Below are 21404 nucleotides of genomic sequence, written 5' to 3'. Positions count from 1 at the left end.
TAAGCCACCTGGGCATGACACAGTCAATGGAGAACTTCAGCACCTTAGTATTTCACGGATTTGTCAATAATACAATTGGAAGATGTCTTTGGAGAATAAAAGCCAGCAGGTGCAACTCTGAGTATGTCAGAGTATATGAGGCAGATGAGATTTCTGTCCCTGAAACCAACCTTGTAGTAAACTGAACCTTCTGGAATTGCCATTTTTATGGGTCAAAACAATTGAGTGTCGGCAATTCACATGCTCCAAAGACAATAGACACTCACACACAGCAACAGTCCAATGAGCAATGTCATAAAACAACTTGTTCTCAAAGCACCGGAGTTCCCAATAGGTTACTGCTTCAATCAAAGATTCTGTTCTTGATAGGACTTACAGTTATGTCATAAAAGAAGAGACATCATTTCTTCCAAGTTATTGATAATAGTAGCAGTATCTTCCGGGGGCTATAAAATGACAGTCACACACAGTAACACTCCAATGAGCAATGTCATAAAATAGCTTGTTCTGAGAGCACCAGAGTTCCCTTAGGATACTGGTTCAATCAAAGATTCTGTCCTTGATAGGACTCACAGTTATGTCATAAAAGGAAAGACATCATTTCTTCCACGTTATTGATAATAGTAGCAGTATCTTCCAGGGGCTATAAAATAGGCATAGATAATAACAAATTTATAGTTAAAAAAAAACCCCAAACCTTCAAAATACTAAAAACTGGTATGTTTTATAGACAGGTATGAGTTCACAGATTTAAACACTAAGAATCTCTTCTCTTTGACCATTATTGGGTGGAAATGTTTCTAGAATTTATTATACACTTCCCTGCCTTCTTAAGTAGAAACATGTTGAGATATTTTTCTTGATGATTCAAGGACGTGGATTACTATATTGCGCTCTAAAACAATGACATCCCATTCAGGTATATAAAATTGTTCGTTGCAAGACTAAAGACTTAAAAGATTCTGTCTCTTGTCCTCCACTATTTGTATGGGTTTTGTGCAACTAAATAAAAACTATCATGTACCTCTATATTAGTTTGCTAGGGCTGCCTTAACAAAATATCACCAGTGGGTGGCTTAAACAACAGAAATTTATTTTCTCAAAGTTCTGGAGGCTTCAAGTTCAAGATCAATGTGTCTGCAAGCTTCATTTCTTCTGAGGCCTCTCTTGGCTTGCAGATGGCCACCTTCTCACTGTGGCCTCATTTTATCTTAATCACCTCCTTAAAGATGTTATCTATAAATACAGTCACATTTTGAAATACTGAGGGTAGAACTTCGACATAAGAACTTGAGGGAGACGATTTGGCCCATAACAAGGTCTGATGCCCAGATGCTATTAAAGCTCAGGTTCTTAGACATAACTGCATTCAAATTAAGACCATGTCACTTCCGGCTTTGGGACCTAAGTAGAGAAGTTGTTCAACCTATTAATTTCCGTTTCATCCTCTGTAAAGTGAAGACAATGATACCTATATCTCATCAGTTTATTGCAATGCATGGAAATGAATATGTGTAAACATTGCCTGGCACATATAAAGGGTTCAATAAAGATGTTATTTTAAAATAAAATTTTAGTTTGGAATTTTTTAACTATTTATCTTTTTATAACCTGCCATGTCTATTTCCCCATAGCTGTGCCTTTCCCTCTGTAATTTCTTATATTATAGGCTTGAAAACCAGATAATTAAAACTTCTAGAATTAAATGTAAAGGCTCAAAATCAAGACCTGTGAATACAGAGCACAAACATCAGAATATGGGATTTTGGATCTCTCTTCTGGCTAATACAGAGTTTGCTTGTTTAATTTTATGTAAATTCTATAGTAGATATAATTTAGTATTTATTGCACATTTTAGATAAGATAATCACAATGTGAAGTGTAGACTGTCATCATTAAAGGAAAAAAAAAGCAGTGACACAAATTGGATCACAAGTAAGTGGCATCTGAAATAAACATTTGTTTTGAAAGTGGTTGGTGGTGATACATAATTTATTCAATGTTGCATACCACTTAGAACAACAGCACAAAGAAGTCTGAGAAGCTGAACTTTCTTACACAAAGTTTCCCAGAAGAAAGTGAAATATTCAGAATACTCTTAGCGTACCTTTCAAGTATCATTCTGAAGCAGATGTCAGCAAACTTTTTTTGTGAGACAGTAAATATTTTAGGTTTTGTGGCCACATGGTTTCTGTTCAACTATTCAACTCTGCCACCTTAGCCGCTAAGCAGTCATAAATGATACAGAAGCAAACAGGTGTGGCTGCACACCAATAAAACTGTGTTTATGGACAATGAAATTTGATTTTCATAAAACTTGACTGTGTCAGAAAACATTCTTTTTCTTTTTCTTTTTTTTTGTCCCAACCATTTGAAAATATAAAGCCATTCTTAGCTCAGGCAGTACAAAAACAGGTGGTGGGCTAGATTAGGTCCAGGGGCCCTAGTTCGCCCACTTCGTTCTACTCTTCACCCCCCTGCCCCCCCGCCCCCCCGCCCCCCTCGCTTAGACGGAGGAGTCTCGCTCTGCTGCCCAGGTTGGTGTGCAGTGGCGTGATCTTGGCTCACTGCAATCTCCACCTCCCAGGTTCAAGCAATTCTCCTGCCTTAGCCTCCCGAGTAGCTGGGATTACAGGTGTGCACCACCACGCCTGGCTAATTTTGGTATTTTTAGTACAGATGGGGTTTCACCGTGTTGGCCAGGCTGGTCTTGAACTCCTGACTGCGTGATCCACCTGCCTCGGCTTCCCAAAGTGCTGGGATTACAGGCATAAGCCACCGTGTCTGGCCCACTTCACTCTATTCTAAAAGCGCAACAAGTATTTGTTGATGGTAACAACACATTTGTACTACTGAAAATAATTTGACAACTAAGGATCAGTCCAGCATCCCCCACTGCCTCTTCCCATCTTCTTTATTTGAAAACTACCTATGTTGTAGCAGCTCCCTACCTGCCTTAATCAAAAGCCACTGTACACCAAGCCCAATTAAGTTCACTTACTGAACACTTTAACTAGAGTTTCAATGCATCTCTTCATAAATAGGGATAAAGCAGCATCCTGGCTAAAGGCACCAGGGTTACCAATGGCAGGAACAGGGGCCAGGCATGGTGGCTCATGCCTGTAATCCCAGCACTTTGAGAGGCTGAGGTGGGAGACAGCTTAAGGCAACAAGTTTGAGACCAACCCAGGCAACAAAGCAAGACCACGCTCTCCAAAGAAAAATGAAAAAAAAATTGGCCAGGTGCGGTGGTGTGCGCCTGTAGTCCCAGCTCCTCAGGAGGCTGAAGTGGGAGGATCAACTAAGCCCAGGAGTTAGAGGCTGAAGTGACCCACGATAGTGTCACTGCACTCCAGACTGAGTGAGAGAGCGAGACCCTATCTCCAAAAAATAAAAATAAACAAAAAGGAACAGGAACTGAGCTGTCACATGGATCCCACATTTACAAAGCAGCAAAAGGTACTAAAAGTTTGTATACTGCATGAATACAAAAATTATTTTTTGTTTTGTTTTGTTTTTATGTTTCTTTGTTTTTTTGAGATGGAGTCTTGCTCTGTCGCCAGGCTGGAGTACAGTGGTGCAATCTTGGCTCACTGCAACCTCCGCCTCCCGGGTTCAAGCCATTCTCCCACCTCAGCCTCCTGAGTAGCTGGAACTACAGGTGCATGCGAACACACCAAGCTATTTTTTGCATTTTTAATAGAGATGGGGTTTCACCATGTTGGCCAGGATGGTCTTGATCTCTTGACCTCGTGATCTGCCTGCCTCGGCCTCCCAAAGTGCTGGGATTACAGGCGTGAGCCACCGCGCCTGGGCAAAAACTGTATTTTTACCCAACAGTTGTCATCATAACATGGCCTTGCTTTGGGGAATGAATAAAGAAGTAAACTTTAGTAAATCAACATCACAAATTGTTCTTAAGAATGAACGACACTGTCCAAAGTTTTAGATGGCTACCAAAGTTTAATAATTATTTCTTACTCCCCAAATATCACCTGGACATTATTTCCTCAATCCTTGGGGAAAAAAAAAAAACACAGTATAGAAGTTCTGTGGGAAATTCTGCAGTCTATAATACCTCCTTTTTTTTTGTATACAACTCTTCTTTCTGAAAAGCTCAAAACTGTATTGCAGTGTTTCACTCATTCTCATAAGATTCCTATGCAGATGTTGCCGTATCTTTTAGAATGAAGGGTGATGGAGTTCAGGGCATGCGACCCCCAAACAGGGCACCTTAGCATTTGAGAAAACAGCAGAAGCAGGAAGATCATTCTCGCCTTCCTCTTAACCTTCTTCCCTGAAGCTCTGCCCTTCCTTTGAAGAAGACCCTCATTACAAGGGAGCCCATCCTATATCCTGAGAAAAGGAATGCTCTATCTTTGAAGACACAGAGATTCCAAGAAAAATCTGAACAAATAGGCCTTGCTAAATTCCTCCAGTTATTTAGCTTTTTAGATCATATCCTCTTTGTTCTTTTTTTTTCCCCCTCCAAGACAGAGTCTTGCTCTGTTGTCCAGGCTGGAACACAGTGGCTCAATCACAGCTCACTGCAGCCTCAAACTCCTAGACTCAATGCCTCAGCCTTCTAGGTAGCTGGGACTACAGGCACACGCCATCACTCCGGGCTAATTTTGTTAACTTTTAGTAGAGATGAGGTCTCACTCTGTTGCCTAGGCTAGAGTGCAATGGTGCAATCATAGCTCACTGCAGTCTTGAACTCCTGAGCTCCAGCAATCCTTCCACCCTGGCCTCCCAAAATGCTGGGAGTACCTGTGTGAGCCACCGTGCTCAGTCAGATCATATCCTTTTGTTCTCCAATCATTCGTCTACACAACTGTCCTAAAAATACATAAACTTCCCTGTTTCTTGGGGTCTTCATTTCTAAAGGCGTCTATGTCATCTAAAACTTATATTAACTAAATGTGTGTGCTTTTATCTTGTTAATTTGCATTTTATTATAAGTTCCCCGGCCATGAACCTTATGATGGGTGAGAAATCTTTTCTTTCCTACAAAGGGAAATAAAGAGATGTTAAATTGTTTGCTGGAAATAATTCAGAGTCTTTGGCAAAGCACAGAATGAGAAGACTATTGCTGAATTACCAACCTAAGCCTTCTTCCAAGTAGACCATGAAGACTTTACTCAGTTCCTTCCAGAAACGGAAGTTTGTACATTCTGGGGTGAGAAGATTCTGACATAAAAGCACTCATGGGCCTGTGTTACAACAATGACTACCAATAACAGCATCTTTGTAATGCTCATTGTTAGCATTCTGAATAAGTCAAGGATTGACTGTACTGATTAATTAGGTAACAATTATCTCAGTGATTTGCCTTCAAAAGGACTAGAAGTGTTAAGAAAAGAAAAAAAAAAAGCACAACATGTCTAATATCCACCCAAAAAACGAAAAGCGATTGCAACTCATTTTATTTGGTTGGCGCTTTTCCAGAAAATATTTTCCTAGTAATGAAGCACATCAGCTTTACTCTAAAAAATTGTCTGCTTCCAGCAAGTGATTTAAAATATTGTTTGTTTCCAGCACACAATTTAACATCTCTTTATTTCCCCTTGTAGGGAAGAAAAGATTTCTCACCCATTATAAGATTCATGGCCAGGGCACCTATGATAATTTGAAGACTTTAAAAAACATCAAATGAATCAAATAATGGGTAATTATAATTTTGAAACCTTAAGAAATATCAAATGTGTCAAATAATGGGGCAGTACAAAGCCAACAGAAGAGTACTTTTCATTTAGAATAGTTGTATTCATATAACAAGAATTCATTGATGTGCTAACTTTACAAACCAAGAGGCACCTTTTTCATTTAGTTTATCCTTAAGTGCCCCTTGCACTGATTTCTTAAATGAACACTTGTTTTGCATGAATACAGACTTTCTTAGGAACTACAAAGCAATCTGAATACCAATAATAAGACGTCTATTCCCACCCCACCCCTTTCTTAAACAGAAACTATCCCTTTTTCTAATTCTCCTCTGGGAAGAATATTTCATCTATTCAAGATTATAAACTAATTTTTAACATTTAATTAGACAATATGATGTTAAGACTATACATGAGTCACGAAAAATCCCACCCAGATAAAAGCAAACCTTTTTCCTCAAAACTGTTCTTATTCTTGTTCTATCCTCACAATATCATTAGTAAGAAAACACCACACGCTATAAGCATCCTTCGAAATGTTTACCCAACATTGTGACCCAGTTGTAAACTTTCTGTAGCCCCATGGAAACACTTACTTCTGGGAAGAATGAATGACTCTCAATATAGCACAAATATACTCCAAAGGAAAGGCATGGTGACTCCTAAATGATCTGAGGAACAGAGGACTAGGTAAAGACAATGGAGGCAGAGTTATGGAAAGAAAAATTAAATTGTATTGGCAAGGGAACAGGCATTCTTTGGAAAGTGAGATAACAGGTCTGTCTTGTCTAGCGCTACATTTAACAGTTTTTTAGATCTCACAATACAAGCTAGAATTCCACTTCTGTTTATTTCAGGGTAGATTTACATCAGTTTAGTAATTCACCCCAGACCTCTGAATAATTGTTTCATGTGATCTACATGAATAGTGTATTATTACTCATTACCAAGTAATTACCAAGATAGTCAACAAGATATAGCCCAAAGGGAATTATACACAATAATTTGGGTGGTGGAGGGGGGTGGGGAGGAAGGAAGAGTTGGGAGTCACACAAAGGGATGTGATTCACCTGTAAAGGTTGAGGGTGGGGGGTTACAAAGTGGTCCTGGCAGAGAAATCACAAGGCCCAGGTTCCAGGACGACACTGGTAACTAGGAAGTGTGTGACCTTGTGCATGACGAGATGGATTATTTCAAAGATTGGATCTCATAGATCAAAAGAAGGGACTGTGCTGAACGCTCTTTCAGATTCCTCCCACTGTCCAAATACCAATTGATATCTCCACTCTGGGTATGTGCCTTACTAGGTCCGGCTGGGGAAATTCGGCCTTCATTCATCTGATCTGGCACAGTGACCGAGCCCTGGGGCATGCGCCCGGCCTCATCTTTCACCTGAGGAGGCTCCTCCATGGCCGGGCGCCCCGCGGGTGAGTCGTACGGGGACGTGGCGCTTCGAAGTTTATGGGGAGCCTCGCACACCTCAAGTTGAAGGAACTGCTGAATCAGGGTGCCCCAATTAAGTCAGATCTTAGGCAATCCTATGGTTCCTTTACTCTCCCTCACCCTTCCTCCTACTCTGAAAAGAAACCGGATCGGCCTGTCCGCCCAGAGGTCACCTGGGAAGAGCAGAGTGATGTCACTCGGCTACCCCCAAAACTGCCTCCAAGGTACAAAAGAGCTGGAATATCTGTGCATGGTCCAAAGGGACGGCACACTCCGGAAGGTGACCCTTTAGAAGGTATTATTACCAGACTGCAGCCTCGGCCTCTGGGATGGGTGCGGGAGGAAGGTGGTGAGTTTCCATCATCCCGCTGCCTTGCCGCACGGCGGCCAGGTGCTGCTACACATTCAAACCCGACAGTTTGGCTTAGTGGGTTGCGAAAAAAGAACTCAAGGGGAGGAAGCACCTGCAGCCACCCAGGCCGAAGTTAGGGACCACTTCCCCAGAGTTACGGACGGCAACAACCAAGTCACGTCTGGAGTCACCTCTCTGGCTTCCGGCTCCGCAGGGCTTGCCCTCCCGAGTCACCCAGGCAGAGGCCGGGGACGCCAGTAAGGGGAAGGTCGGAGGGTCGGGAGGACAGTGAGGGGAGGCGGGCTGGAGGAGCCGGGATGGCGAAAGGTGGGGGGTGGGGTGGGAGGGTTAGAGGGGCCCGGGGCGCCGGGGCCGGGGTGTGTGGGTTGTGGGCGAGGTGGCCGGGGCGGCCAGGGGGCGCGCAGGATACCCTACCTGTGGTGGAGAGCACGGTGCTGGCGAAGAAGAGCGCGGAGGTGAAGTCCCAGTTCCAGTTGCCCGAGGCGTTGCTGAGCACCGACACGCCGTAGTTGCTGGCCTCCAGCACCCGGCCCAGGAACTGCTCCAGCTGCTGCTCAGACAGGCACTCGTGCTCCTCCAAGAAGCGTCGCTTCAGCTTGCGCAGCTCCTGGCGCAGCAGGTCCTCATAGGGCAGCTCCACCGAGGAGAAGACCACTGCGCCGAAGACCAGGTAGAGCAAGTAGCCCAGCACCAGGAAGCCGAAGCACCAGGCCGAGCGGTGCCGCTCCACCAGGCGCACGCACGAGCTGCCGGCCAGGGACTGCAGCATCTTCTCCACCGCCGCCGCCAAGGCCAACGCCGCAGACCGGCCGGAGCGCGGCCCGCCGCCTCTTCTGGCCCCGCCGCCCCCGCCCCCGCCCGGGCCTGGCTCCCGCCCGCCGCCCGCTCCCCCGCGCGCCCGCCCGCCCCGCTCCTCCGGGCAGCGCCGTCTTCCTGCGATTGGCTCTCTCGGGCGATGTTTTTCTTCCTTCTTTTCCTGTTTCCTTGCAATATAAAAAGCCCAGATGATGTGGCGCTGACGTGGTTGCCGGCTCAGGTAACCCGAGAGTCAGCGGAGACCGCGCGCAAACTTGGCCAGAGCGCCTGGGCTGGGCTGCCGGGGCCCGGGACGCACCGCCTTCTGCGCACTCCAGAGGTGGGGCGGGCGCTCGGTGGCGCCCAGACCCCGACCCGACAGCCACCAGCTCCTCCCGCTCCCTCCCTTCCTGGGTCCAGTAGCCAAACTCTAGCTGACCGCGCGCGGCGTGTGCGTGTGTGTGTGTGTGTGTTCGCGCGCGTGTAGTGTGGGCCGCTTCTGGTCAATGCGCTGGCCGTCCAAGCCCCCTGTCCAAGCTACTCTTGTTTCCCACTTATTTTCTCCCAATCAAAGCCAGTATTACAAAACAGCAAGCGCTGAAGTACTTTCCTTCTTTGTCTTATTGGTCGAAGGATTGAGCAATCTGGTGCCAGTAATGACGGTGAAAATACCAGAACATCAGAGTTGGAAGGCTCCTTGAATCAGTCTCCTCTCTCCCACCCATCCCCCTCACAAAAAGGACTTGAGGGAAAAGGAGAGTCTCAGAGAAGTCCTATTTCTGAGTTCGAATTTTCTAAAACATGACCTTAGGTTTTTTGGTGAAAAAACATCCCAAATGTGTCAACTGCCAGAAGAAACTGAGCTTTCCCAACTGTCACTTCTTTTTAAAGTGACAAAAATGTGGGCGAGGGTCAGCGAGCCGCCTGCTTGTGGATGAAAATAAAAATTGGTACACCCTTTCTGGAAAGGCAATTTAGCGACACGTCTCAAGAACCTTGAAAGGGTTTATTTGTTCTGATTCAGTGATATGTCCTAAGAAAAAACAATCAGAGAGGCACTTACTTACAAAGACTGGTCATAGACGGTATCTATATATACATACATGTAGTTGTATAATATAGTGCATACACATGTGGGACACACACACACACACACACACACACACGGTATAGATGAAATAATGAAGACTCAGAACAATCTAAATATTCCAAAATAGAGAATGGTTAAATAAGTTATGGCATCTCTACAGCATGGACACCATATAGACATTAAACACATTAAAGTTGTGTCTAAAGACTATTGAAGCAAAACTGTGTAGAATCTCAAATATGTAAAATATTTGTATTTTGTTACAAAATAAAATGACATCTGCATTATTAATCAACTGCATAGGAATAAAACTATCTCCTTGCAGTTGTCTTTGGGTAATAGTAGAGTATATAGATGACTTTCCTTTCTTGTACCTTTTAATATTTTTCAAATTTTCTACAGTGGATATATATTATTTTTGTAATCAGGAAAAACATTTAAAATACACAAAACTGAATTGTACAATTAATCATTCCAACACCTAGCTGAACATTTGCCTACTTTACTGAAGTTCTCTAAACAAGTCATATTTTGTATTTTCATAGAAACTTGTGCAAATGTCTAACATATATATCAGTGATTTTTCACTTTTAGTCAATAGCCTTACCTCCTACGTTACTCAAAAGATTGAAGCCAGCCCTCCACTTTACTTCTCTGTACTTCAAAATTTACTCATCGGTAATCCATTTCTTCCCTTTGCTCTTACCCCTAAGGAAAAAATGTACCTCCTTATTTTCAAGGTGAAAGGAAGCACTTACCACTCTCAGTCCTTCCGCCTCTGGGAACCCTTCCCCATCAGCAAGTGCCCTACTCTTTTAGAACTTGAATTCCTCCTTCTCCCTCAAGTCTCCATCCTACAATGTCCTTCCCTGTCCTGCTCTGTAACCCTTGCTTGCCCTATCCTATCCTTGATCTTTGCCTATTTGCCCTGTTCAGAGACCTCTTCATTCATGAGGCTACCCCCGGCCGTAGCAGACCCTCAGAATTCTCCTCCTGCCTGTCATGATCATTTTTCTCCCTATGTCTCTGCTCACCTGATTCCTTCTGCTTGGACAGTTCCTCCTCCATCTCCATCTGTAACACAGTTTATATCCTTCAGGACCTGGCTCACTCATGAAACCTGTGATTCCCCAACAGGATGTGAGTTCCTCTTCCCAAGACATACAACCCTTTGAATGCCAGATTGTGTGGGGTACTTGTGATGAACTGCAGGTGCAGGTGTGGTTATATCATCACACTCAAATATACATACATGTATTGTGGGAAAAAGAGTTTCTGGAGTGCCAGTTGAGTTGTTCTCCCCTGTGTGAGACACCCATGGGGAGCCATGGGTGACCTCTGAGGAGAAAAGTCTCCTTATTGCCTTCATGTCTTTATGCCCTGAGAGCATAACTGCTCGGGGGCATTCCACAGGCTGCTCAGGGAGATAACACGCCCTGGAAGCAGTGGAGTATAATCAAACATCTTGGCTCCTCCTGAAACCCGCTCCCACCCCTTTCAGTCCCAATAAGTTAAAGATCTTAAGTAGTTTAGACACACGCAATCTTAAGTAGTTTAGACACACGCCTTTGCTCAAGGAAATTCACAGAGACCACCACTGCTGTACATCTTATTGAATGACTCACAAGTTCTCCTTCACTGATTAATCCTTTTCCTCATCCCTTCCTCCCCCTCCCATCTGCCCTAAGAACAAAGAGCTTGTAAAACAATAAATTAGTTGGAGCCCAAGAGCTCTGGGCCATGAGCAAGCCTCCTACACAACGGTCCCCTGGACCCACCTTTTAAATGCTTATTCTGCCTCTTTCTAACTCCTGTGTCTCCGCTGGACTCGGGGTACCCGCCGGTTGGTGTGGGGCTGGTTCCCCCAACATGTATATGGCAGCTTTGAAATATGGTTGCAAATTCTTTGACAGTCCCTCACCAAAGGGTAGGGTTTCTGTCCCCTATCCTTGAAACTTGTGACTACTTCAACTGACAGAGTACATAAGAGATGATACTAGGTAATTTCCAAGGTTAGATGATAAAAGACCAGCAGCCTCCAACTTTGTTCACTGGAACAATCCCCTCTTGGAGCCCTGAGCCATCACATAAGATGTCTGATTAACTTGAGGCTGTCATGCTGGAGAGGCCACATGTAGGTGTTTCAAGGGACAGCCCAGTGAGCCCAGCTTCCTTATCATTCTCGCCAAGACACCAGATAGATGAGTGTAGCCATCTTCAACTCTCAAACCAGGGCATCCACCTGCTGAATACCACTGGGTGTCTTACCTCTGTCTATCTACCCAGGAACAGAACTCCCAGCTGAGTTCTGCCTGAATCCTGAGATATCATCAGATGGCTGTCTTAAGCCATCGAGTTTTTGGCTAGCTTGTTATACAATAATAGATAACTGGAACAACATGCATCTTGACTACATTGAATTTTAAAAATTATTATTAGAAGTTTTCTTCAGACAAATTTGCCATTTTCTCCATAGTTCACTTCTCTGGCTGAGACTCTGCCCCAGCTCTACATCACAACTAGGCCAAGGATACCAAATATTTTTAAATCATATTATCCTCAGACTACAAGTAGAAACTGGAAATATCATGGAAGTGGTCTGATGGGGGCATAGATCTCATCCTGCAGGACGAGGTACGTTGAGTGGAGCCTGGATATGGGGCTGGGAAATGCAAAGACTTCTGAGGTTCTGGCTGTCTGAGTTGATGGGAATCCTGATAACACAGGTTGGCTGCCTTCCTTCCTCGTCCTGGGCCACTGCTCTAGACAGATGCTCCTGTCTTCAAAGAAGTTAGCAATCTCGGAAATGTTAGAATTTTTTCTTCTAAAGTTTGAAATCTTTACTCCACATGATCTGTGTGTAACTCACTGCTGACTAGCTACTTCTCTCTGGACCTCCCAACACGGATTAAAGGGACCATACAAGCTGACATTTCTGCTGACTCACCCCCACCTAGCATGCCACACGCTATCCCCAAGCATGTTTTAGAAGAGAATGGGAATATGGAAGAAAACTCAGAGAAGAGTGCAGAGATACAAAAGAGGGGATCAAGGGGAGTAGGAGTGGGGGAGTAAAGAGAGTGGGGGAAGAGGCCATGGCTTCTTTCTGCTTCCTGCATCAGTGTCCCCTCTAACTGACATAATTTGTGGACTGGTGACCATGCTTTCTGAGAAACAAACTCTGGGCTTGGCACAGAGCCTTGCAAGTTAATCTGATGTAGAGCTAATGATGTAAATGATCACTACTGTGTTGTATGATACTTGGGCATCAATGGGCTTCATGACCTCAACAGGTTGAGATGATGAGAATAATTTGTAGAGACAGTGGTTCTATAGGAACTTGGGATCAAAAAGTGAAATTTACAAATACAGGGTTGGGAAAATCCAGTCAATCAGCAACAAGTACAAAAAGTTAGCATTTGCAATTCCACCTCTGGGTATGTACCCAAAATAATTGGAAGCAGGGACTTGAACAGATATTTGTATACTCATGTTCATAGCAGCATGATTCACCGTAACTGAAAGGTGGAAGCAACCCAAGTGTCCATCCGCAGATAAACGGATAAAAATTATGATACATACATACAGCCATATAGTATTCAGTCTTAAGAAGGAGAGAAACTCTGACACCTGCTCTACATTTGATGAACCTTGAGGACATTATGCTAAGTGAAATAAGTCATTCACAAAAAGACAAATACTATATGATTCCACTGGTATGTGTACCTAGAGTAGTGAAATTCACAGAAACAGAAAGCGAAATGGTGGTTGCCAGGGGCTGGAAGAAGAGAGAAGGGGGATTGATTGTTTAATGGGTATGGAATTTCAATTGTTCAAAATGAAAAAATTCTGAAGATAAATGGTGGTTGTGATTGCGTAACAATGTGGATGTCCTTAATGCCACTGAATTGTACACTTAAAAATGGTTAAAATGCTAAATTTTATGTTATGTGTATTTTATGGCAATCCTAAAAAAAGAAAAAAGTTAGCATTCGGATGGACAGAGGGGCCACATGCATTAATAGCAAGCTGAAGCTCTCCCACCAGCTGATGAGCTCCCAGGCTCTATCTGTGACATGGGGCCCTTGAAGAAGCAGACAGCCACCACTTCCAGAGAGTGCTGGGTGGTTCAGGTGGGGCACAGTACAAAGAACCTGAAAGACCTGGCACAGACGCAGATGCGAGGCACATGGCTGGTGATGGGTCTGGAAATTCTGCTTAGAGAAGTGGCTGAAGGATTCCAGGTGCTTTCCCTGAGAAGAGAAAACTTAGGAGGATCTGGTAGCTACACATGGAAAAAAAAATGTGAGTTTATTTTGTATGTCTTCAAAGGGCAGTGCTAAGATTAATGGGTGGAAGATACAGAATGTAACATTTAAAATTCACTGTACGAGAGAACATTCTATTCATTTGAGTTGACTGTCAATGGAATGAGCTGCTTCTAGAAACAGTGAGCTCCCTTTCATGAGTGTTCAAGCCGAAGGCAAACAATGACAAATTAGAGAGGTAGAATGAAGAGCATTCAGCCGATGTCATTTAAGGTTCTTTCCAAGTCTGAGATGTTATGGTTCCAGCATCTATAAGGTCAAGGGGAGGAGGAGGGAAAGAATGAACCAAGTGAAGCAAAAAGTCACCCTGAGATGCCTCTGAAAATTTTTGGATTCACAAGCAGGGATACCCAGAATGTTCTAGCCCTGAATCTCTAACTCCCCAGTGGTGCCACGTCCAGTTGTCAGGGAATACAGACGGAGCAGGCGCTCAGCTTCTCTGTTACCTTTGGCTGAGGGTGTTGCCAACTCCTCTTATTGTGGTAAGGTGGCTATGCTCTGAGGTGTGCAGATCAGGGCTCAGCCTCCAGACAGGGCCTGCCAGGAGGCAGCAGTGACAGATGATGCCCCTTCATATCCTCTTCCTGCCCACACAGGCCCATGGTGGCCTGACCACCGGTGGCCTGAGTGATGCTTATCATTTTCCTGCCTTCATCACTGTCTCTTACCCATGCCCTCCAATCACACTTTGCCTGTGAGTGTTAAATCATAATTGGTCCCTGCTCATGTCTCATTCAACACATACTCCATGGGTATGAGAGGTAAGGAGAGGAAGGAAAAGAAGAAAGGGCTGTCCTAGAAGCAAGTGAAGAAAGATGGATGAGAAACAGATCAAATGACAGGGGGAGGAGCTGAGGGTATTCCAATGCCATCCACTGCTCTGTCCTGTCATGCATATTTGGAAGGTGTCCCCAGCCCAGCCATGCACTCTCCCACCCTCCCTGTCCTCAGAGTACTCCCGTGCTGAAGTGAGATGGTCATCTCAATATTCACTCAGCTGCCTCATTGCTTTCTCCCAAACAGGCCCTATGTGTCAGCGCTTGGAATGGGCTCGCCCACACTTGTTTGCTCCCACGATTTCAGACCATGACTATATCGGGGGCGGTGGCCTTGATGCTGAAAAAGAGAAAGAACACAAAAGATGGATGATCTTTTTTGCCTCCTGGAGCAGTCTAGCCCTGGCTGCCAGTTATTATCTGTGCACTGAGTCTTATGGGCACTGGGCTGACACCTGGATGAACAGCACCTGAGCTGTAAGCTCTTTGACAACACTGGGCAATACACTTCATAAACCACTGTATTTGCATGTGACACGTGTCAGCAGCACAAACACAGGGCACTGTGTGGCATCAGGAAGCTTGCCAGCAGAGGGTAGTTTGATGCTGAAGGTCAGCTTTTTATCTTTTCAGGAACCTGCATATTCAGAAAAAAATTTTTCAGATCTGGGGACACTGGGATTCACCACTTCCTCCTGCTGAATTCTAGTGCCTGAATGAGATCTGCAAACATTCACTCCATACAGTTTTGAGTTTGCTACATTAGCAACTCCCTTAGATCCTAGAACAGTTCTGTTCCTTCCCTCTTCAGTGCCACTTTCACTGGAACTTTCCGTTACTTCAAGATCCCATTCGAATTGGCCCTTCAGGTAACCTCCTTTAACTACGTAAACATGCAAAAACCCATCTCTCCTCCATCTGAATTCATGCTACACATGCTCTCTGTTTGAGTCACTGGGTCCCTAACATGCACCTCCTAGTGTTGTTATTCACTAGGTCCCTAACATGCACCTCCTAGTGTTATTATTATTATTATTATTATTATTTGAGATGGAGTCTCACTCTGTAGCCCAGGCTGGAGTGCAGTGGCATGATCTCGGCTCACTGCAACCTCCGTCTCCTGGGTTCAAGTGATTCTTCTGCCTCAACCTCCCGAGTAGCTGGGACTACAGGCACTGTAGTCCCACCACACCCGGCTAATTTTGGTATATTTAGGAGAGATGGGGTTTCACCATATTGGCCAGGCTGGTCTCGAACTCCTGACCTCATGATCTGCCCCCCCGCCCCCACCTCAGCCTCAGCCACCGCACCCAGCCTGTTATTTTTATGAGCAAATGTATTGTCTCTCCACTGGATTGTACACTCTTAGGAGGAAACACATTAAAGATGTGTCTAAAGACTATTGAAGCAAAATTGTGTAGAATCTCAAATACGTAAAATATTTGTATTTTGTTACAAAATTAAACGATATCCGCATTATTAATCAACTGCATAGGAATAAAACTAGCTCCTAGCTGTTGTCTTTGGGTAACAGTAGAGTATATAGATGACTCTCCTTTCCTGTACCTTTTAATATTTTTCAAATTTTCTATGGTGGATATATATTGTTTTTATAATCAGGAAAAACATTAAAAATAAACAAAGCTGAATTGTACAATTAATTACTGCATCTCTTAGTTCTTTTTATTTTCTATAATATTCTTTCCTGTGATATGTATACAGTAAATATTTTTCATTTTTAAATTAATAAATATTCACAATAATTACACTTCCCTCAGGCAGCAGTGTATTGTTCAGTGGGAAGTATTTGTAGAACCATGGTTAACCACCCAGTGCTTATACCTAAATATTTGTTATTGTATTTAATGTGAGGAAATTTGCTTTTAGCACAGGACATGCCCAAGGAGTTCTAGACAGGGAATGATTTATTTGCGGAGTGATTCTGCTCTATTGGATTTTAGGATTCTCCATATACGATTGACCTTTGAACAACATGAGTTTGAGCTGTGCAGGTCCACTTACACATAGATATTTTTCAATAAGTATATTGGAAAAATTTTCAGAGAACTGCAGCAATTTGAAAAATCTCACAGATGAGTTGCGTAGTCTAGAAATATTTTTCAATTAAGAAAAATTTAGGTATGTTATTAATGCATAACACACATGTAGATACTAGTCTATTTTATCACTTACTACCTTAAAATATATACAAACTATTATATTAAGAGTTAAAAATTATGAAAAGTTGCACACACAAATACTTAGACCATATATGGCATCATTTGCAATTGAAAGAAATGTAAACAAATGTAAAAATGCAGTACTGAATCGTAATTTCATACAATTCACTGTAGTACTCACTACAGTGAATTTTATGCAATTAAAAATTTTGTAGTTTAAATCTTAAATTTATGCAGTTAAAAATTGTATAGCCACCTCCTGTTGCTATTGCAGTGAGCTCAAGGGTTGGGAGTATCAAACACTGAAAATGCCATACGATGCTAATCATCTCTGCGTGAGCAGTTCATCTCTCCAGTAAATGGCATATTGCAGTAAAAAGTGATCTCACAGTCTCACATATTTTTCATCATGTGTAGTGCAATATAATAAACCTTGATTAGCACCATGGGGCCCATAAAAAGTGCCACTAGTGATGCTTGGAGTGCTCACAAGAAGCAGAGAAAACTCATGATATTACCAGAAAAAGCTGAATTGCTTAATATGTACCATAGATTGAGATCTGCAGCTGTGTTTGCCCACCATTTCAAGATAAAAGAATCAAGCATTGAGAACCATTGTAAAAAAAAAGAAAAAGAAATTTGTAAAGCCATTTCTGCAGTTAAACTGCCATGTGTGAAAATCTTGCATTTTATGCAAACTATGTTTTTATCTTATATTGAAAATGCAGCAGCTGGGTGCAGTGGCTGACACTTGTAATCCCGGCACTTTGGGAGGCCAAGGCAGGTGGATCCCTTGAGTCCAGGAGTTCAAGACCAGCCTAGGCAACATGGTGAAACTCAGTCTTTCTACAGAAAAACCCACAAAAATTAGCCAAGCATGGTGCCAAGCCTGTAGTCCCAGCTACTCCAGAGGCTGAGGTGAAAGAATCGCTTGAGCCTGGGAGGCAGAGGTTGCAGTGAGCTGAGATCATGCCACTGCACTCCAGCCTGGGTGACAGAGTGAGACCCTGTTTCAAAAAAGAAAGAAAGAGAGAAAGGAAGGAAGGAAGGAAGATGCAGCTTTTTTGTGGGTGCAGGATTGTTATAAGAAAGGCATACCTGTAGAGGCTAATATGACTTAATAAAAAGTAAAGTTATTATATGACAACTTAAATAAAAAGGAAGGTGAAGGATCTAAAGCTGGAGAATTTAATGCCAGCAAAGGATGGTTTGATAGTTTTAGAAAGAGTTTCGGTTTAAAAAAGGTCAGGATAATAGGAGAAGCAGCTTCTACCAGCCAAGAGACAGCAGACAAGTTCCCAGACACCAGTAAGGAAATCATGGAGGAGAAAGGATATCTGCCTAAACAGGATCTTCATGCAAATAAAAGTGCCTTATTCTGGGGAAAAATAATGCCGCAAAGGATGAATATTTATTAGTACAGAAGAGAAGCAGGCACTAGGATTTAAGTCAGGAAGGGATAGGATAACTCTACTGTTTTGTGCAAATACAATTGTGTTTATGATCAGGACTGCCTTTATCTATAAAGGCACTAGCCCCTGAGCCTTGAAGGGAAAAGATAAACACCAGTCACCGGTCTTTTGGTTATATAACAAGAAGTCCTGAAAAGTGGGAATGCTTTTTCTGGATTGGTTTTATCAGTTCTGTCCCTGAACTCAGGAAGTACCTTGCCAGTAAAGGACTGCATTTTAAAGTTCTTTTGATATTGGACAATGTTCCTGGGCACCCAGAATCCCCTGAATTCAACATGGCAGCCATTGAAATGGTCTAATTGCCCCCAAACACAATGTCTCTAATTCAGTCCCTAGATTAGGGGATCATAAGGACCTTTAAGGCTCATTATACACAGTACTCTATGGAAGGATTGTCAATGCTATGGAAGACAGCCCTGATAGACAGAACATCATTTATTCTGTCTGGAAGGATTACACCATCAGAGATGCCATTGTTATTACAGAAAAAGCCACAAAAGCCATCAAGTCTGAAATAATACATTTATGCTGGGGAAAACTGTCCAGATATTGAGCATGACTTCCCAGGATTTATGATAGAGCCAATCAAAAAAATCATAAAAGAGACTGTGGAGATGGCAAAAAGGTGGGGGGCAGGGGTGAAGGGTTTCCAGATGTGGGTCTTGGAGGAATTCAAGAGCTAAAAGACACCACACCGGAGGAATTAACAGACGATGACTTGATGCAGATGAATGCTTCCAAACCAGTGCCAGATGATGAGAAAGAAGGCATAGAAAAAACAGTGCAGTGCCAGAAAACAAATTGACATTAGATAATCTGGCAGGCGCATTCTGATTATTCAAGACCATTTTTGGCTTCTTGTATGACATGAACCATCTATGATATGGGCACTGAAACTAAAGCAAATGGCAGAAGAAGGATTGATACCATATAGACTTTTTTTTTTTTAGGCGGAGTCTCGCTCTGTCACCCAGGCTGAAGTGCAGTGGCACAATCTCGGCTCACTGCAACCTCACCCTCCCAGGTTCAAGCGATAGAATCACTTTTTGAGAAATAAAAAAGCAAAAGACAGAGAGAAATTATGAGACGTTTCCATAAAGTTACACCAAGTGTTCCTACCTCTCCTGCCTCCCCTTCCACCTTCATGTCTTCCACCTCTGCCACCCGTAAGACAGCAAGACCAACTCTTCCTTTTCCTCCTCAGCCTACTAAACATGAAAATGATCCACTCCCACTTAATGAATAGTAAATATATGTTCTCTGCCTTATGATTTTCTTAATAACATTTTTTCTGTATCTTATTTTGTTGTAAAAATACTGTATATAATACATGTAACACACCAAATATGTGTTAATTGACTTTGTGTTATTGGTAAGGCTTCTGGTCAACAGCAGGATATTAATAGTTAAGTTTTGGGGGAGTCAAAAGTTATACGTAGATTTTTGACTACATAAAGGGTCAGTACCCCAACTCTTATGGTGTTCAAGGGTCAGCTGTATAAAAAAGATCTTTTGCGTTCTATTTAACCCAGTGGAAGGCAAAATTCCTCCATTAGACATTTAATTATCAATGTCTGCTGTGTCCTTAACAAATAATACAGGTTGAAGAATATAAACAGACAATTGATAATGGCAAAACTTTGTAGACAATTAACAGGCTGATATGAAAACTGAGAACTTGGCATTCTAAGCCAGATCATTTAGGCTCAACTACCGCTTGCAGCCACCTACTCTTAGTGCAGCCTTTGAAGAATGAAACAACCTTTCTAAGCCTTAGTTTCTCTTTCTGTAAAAACGCCAATAATAACCATACCAACCATTTAGGATTGGGAAGATAAACGAGGTATGCTTGTAAAGTACTTAGCACAATGTTGGACACAGAATAAGTGCTCTATAAATTTTTTCCCTTGTAAAGTTACAAAACAGGAAGGGCTGCCTTGTTTTGCCAGTGTGGAATCTCAGCACTGTATGTGGTGCCTGTCACAGAGTAGGCAAGAAATAAATATTTGTGCAATGAATACATGGAGGGATCAGGAGGAGGCCAAGAGTAGGAAGAGGGAATTGGGGTGGGGGGACTCTTTAGTGTGAATTCAGTGGGAGCCGCCGGGCGTGGTGGCTCATGCCTGTAATCCCAGCACTTTGGGAGGCTGAGGCGGGCGGATCACTTGAGTTCAGGAGTTCGAGAGCAGCCTGGCCAACATGGGAAAACCCTGTCTCTACTAAAAACACAAAAATTAGCTGGGCGTGGTGGCAGGGTAGTCCCAGTTACTCGGGCTCAGAAGGCTGAGGCAGAAGAATCGCTTGAACCCAAGAGGCAGAGGTTGCAGTAAGCCAAGATCATGCCATTGCACTCCAGCCTGGGTGACAGAGCGAGACTTCATCTGAAAAAAAAAAAAAAAAAAAAAAAATTAAAAAGAATTCAGTGGGAGCAAAGCTGGCTTTACTTTGTTTTCCCCTCTGCCTTTGCTGTCTTTCATCCTCTGGCCAAGCACTTCTTAGTGATGGCCTCTTTGTCTTCAAGAGCTCCATGTACATTCCCACTCTCCCTCCTGCTGAGGCATCTCTCTGCCTGAAATGACTGTCCTTCTCTTCTCTGGTAATCCCCAGTCCAAGTCTCCTGACTCCTCCAGGAAAGTTTCCCTATATGTCTTCCACTTCTGACCTCAACTCCTGCAGTGCTTAGGGCGGTCATTCATTTGGCATCATGACTCTTGCTTGTGAGGCACCTTTTTATCTCTCCATCTCTTCTCCTTGGCTGAAAATCTCTTACAAGATGCTCTCATAAAAAGAAGAGGAAAGAAATTTAGGCAATATAAACAAGCCAAGTCTACTACAGAGAACAAGTGGGAAGTGGAACCTGGAATTTGCCCAGTAGCTTCCATTTTATCTATGAAACAGGAGGGGAGATAATTGCTAAGAGTGATTAAAAAGAGGTTGAGTAGTGGGCTTGAGGAAAGATAAATGGGAGAGAAAACTGACAAGAAACAAAAGAGAATGTTGAGATGTGTTGAGAACACCACTGAGTCAGAGACTGCACATGTGCGGTGGTAATCACCTCTTCTGTTTTGCCATTTTCTTGGTTTTTTTTTTTTTTTTTTTTTTTGACACGAAGTATCACTCTGTTGCCCAGGCTGGAGTGCAGTGGCATGATCTCCGCTCACTGCAACCTCCACCTCCCAGGTTCAAGCAATTCTCCTGCCTCAGCTTCCCAAGTAGCTGGGACTACAGGCACCCACCACCACGCCTGGCTAATTTTTGTATTTTTTTTTAGTAGATACGAGGTT

The 21404-nt window shown here is 43.2% G+C and overlaps 1 protein-coding gene across 1 annotated transcript in view, besides 7 other annotated features; it reads right to left on the bottom strand.

The window, feature by feature from the left end:
- The window catches only part of KCNK1 (potassium two pore domain channel subfamily K member 1), a 58409-nt gene extending 50095 nt beyond the window's left edge, over positions 1-8314 (bottom strand). The window contains exon 1 of the mRNA NM_002245.4: positions 7894-8314. Coding sequence (NP_002236.1) covers positions 7894-8248 — 355 coding nt within the window. The 5' untranslated portion in view covers positions 8249-8314. The remainder of the gene's footprint in view (positions 1-7893) is intronic.
- Positions 7288-7347: an enhancer, noted in NCBI's record as "active region_2743". NCBI's record gives its function as "activates an Ori minimal core promoter by ATAC-STARR-seq in GM12878 lymphoblastoid cells {active_cell/tissue: GM12878}" and the evidence as "EXISTENCE:reporter gene assay evidence [ECO:0000049][PMID:35858748]".
- Positions 7818-7877: a silencer, noted in NCBI's record as "silent region_1965". NCBI's record gives its function as "represses an Ori minimal core promoter by ATAC-STARR-seq in GM12878 lymphoblastoid cells {active_cell/tissue: GM12878}" and the evidence as "EXISTENCE:reporter gene assay evidence [ECO:0000049][PMID:35858748]".
- Positions 8218-8287: a silencer, noted in NCBI's record as "silent region_1964". NCBI's record gives its function as "represses an Ori minimal core promoter by ATAC-STARR-seq in GM12878 lymphoblastoid cells {active_cell/tissue: GM12878}" and the evidence as "EXISTENCE:reporter gene assay evidence [ECO:0000049][PMID:35858748]".
- Positions 8536-9188: an enhancer, noted in NCBI's record as "H3K27ac hESC enhancer chr1:233748978-233749630 (GRCh37/hg19 assembly coordinates)". NCBI's record gives its function as "activates a minimal SCP1, AML or CMV promoter by ChIP-STARR-seq in naive H9 embryonic stem cells {active_cell/tissue: H9 hESC(naive)}" and the evidence as "EXISTENCE:reporter gene assay evidence [ECO:0000049][PMID:30033119]".
- Positions 8648-8747: a silencer, noted in NCBI's record as "silent region_1963". NCBI's record gives its function as "represses an Ori minimal core promoter by ATAC-STARR-seq in GM12878 lymphoblastoid cells {active_cell/tissue: GM12878}" and the evidence as "EXISTENCE:reporter gene assay evidence [ECO:0000049][PMID:35858748]".
- Positions 14851-14970: an enhancer, noted in NCBI's record as "active region_2742". NCBI's record gives its function as "activates an Ori minimal core promoter by ATAC-STARR-seq in GM12878 lymphoblastoid cells {active_cell/tissue: GM12878}" and the evidence as "EXISTENCE:reporter gene assay evidence [ECO:0000049][PMID:35858748]".
- Positions 20392-20893: an enhancer, noted in NCBI's record as "NANOG hESC enhancer chr1:233737273-233737774 (GRCh37/hg19 assembly coordinates)". NCBI's record gives its function as "activates a minimal SCP1, AML or CMV promoter by ChIP-STARR-seq in naive H9 embryonic stem cells {active_cell/tissue: H9 hESC(naive)}" and the evidence as "EXISTENCE:reporter gene assay evidence [ECO:0000049][PMID:30033119]".

The sequence above is a fragment of the Homo sapiens genome, chromosome 1 (genome assembly GCF_000001405.40).
Source record: "Homo sapiens chromosome 1, GRCh38.p14 Primary Assembly".
Lineage (NCBI taxonomy): Eukaryota > Metazoa > Chordata > Mammalia > Primates > Hominidae > Homo > Homo sapiens.
Note: the sequence above shows the minus strand (reverse complement) of the source record. Positions and strands in the feature narration are given on the sequence as shown.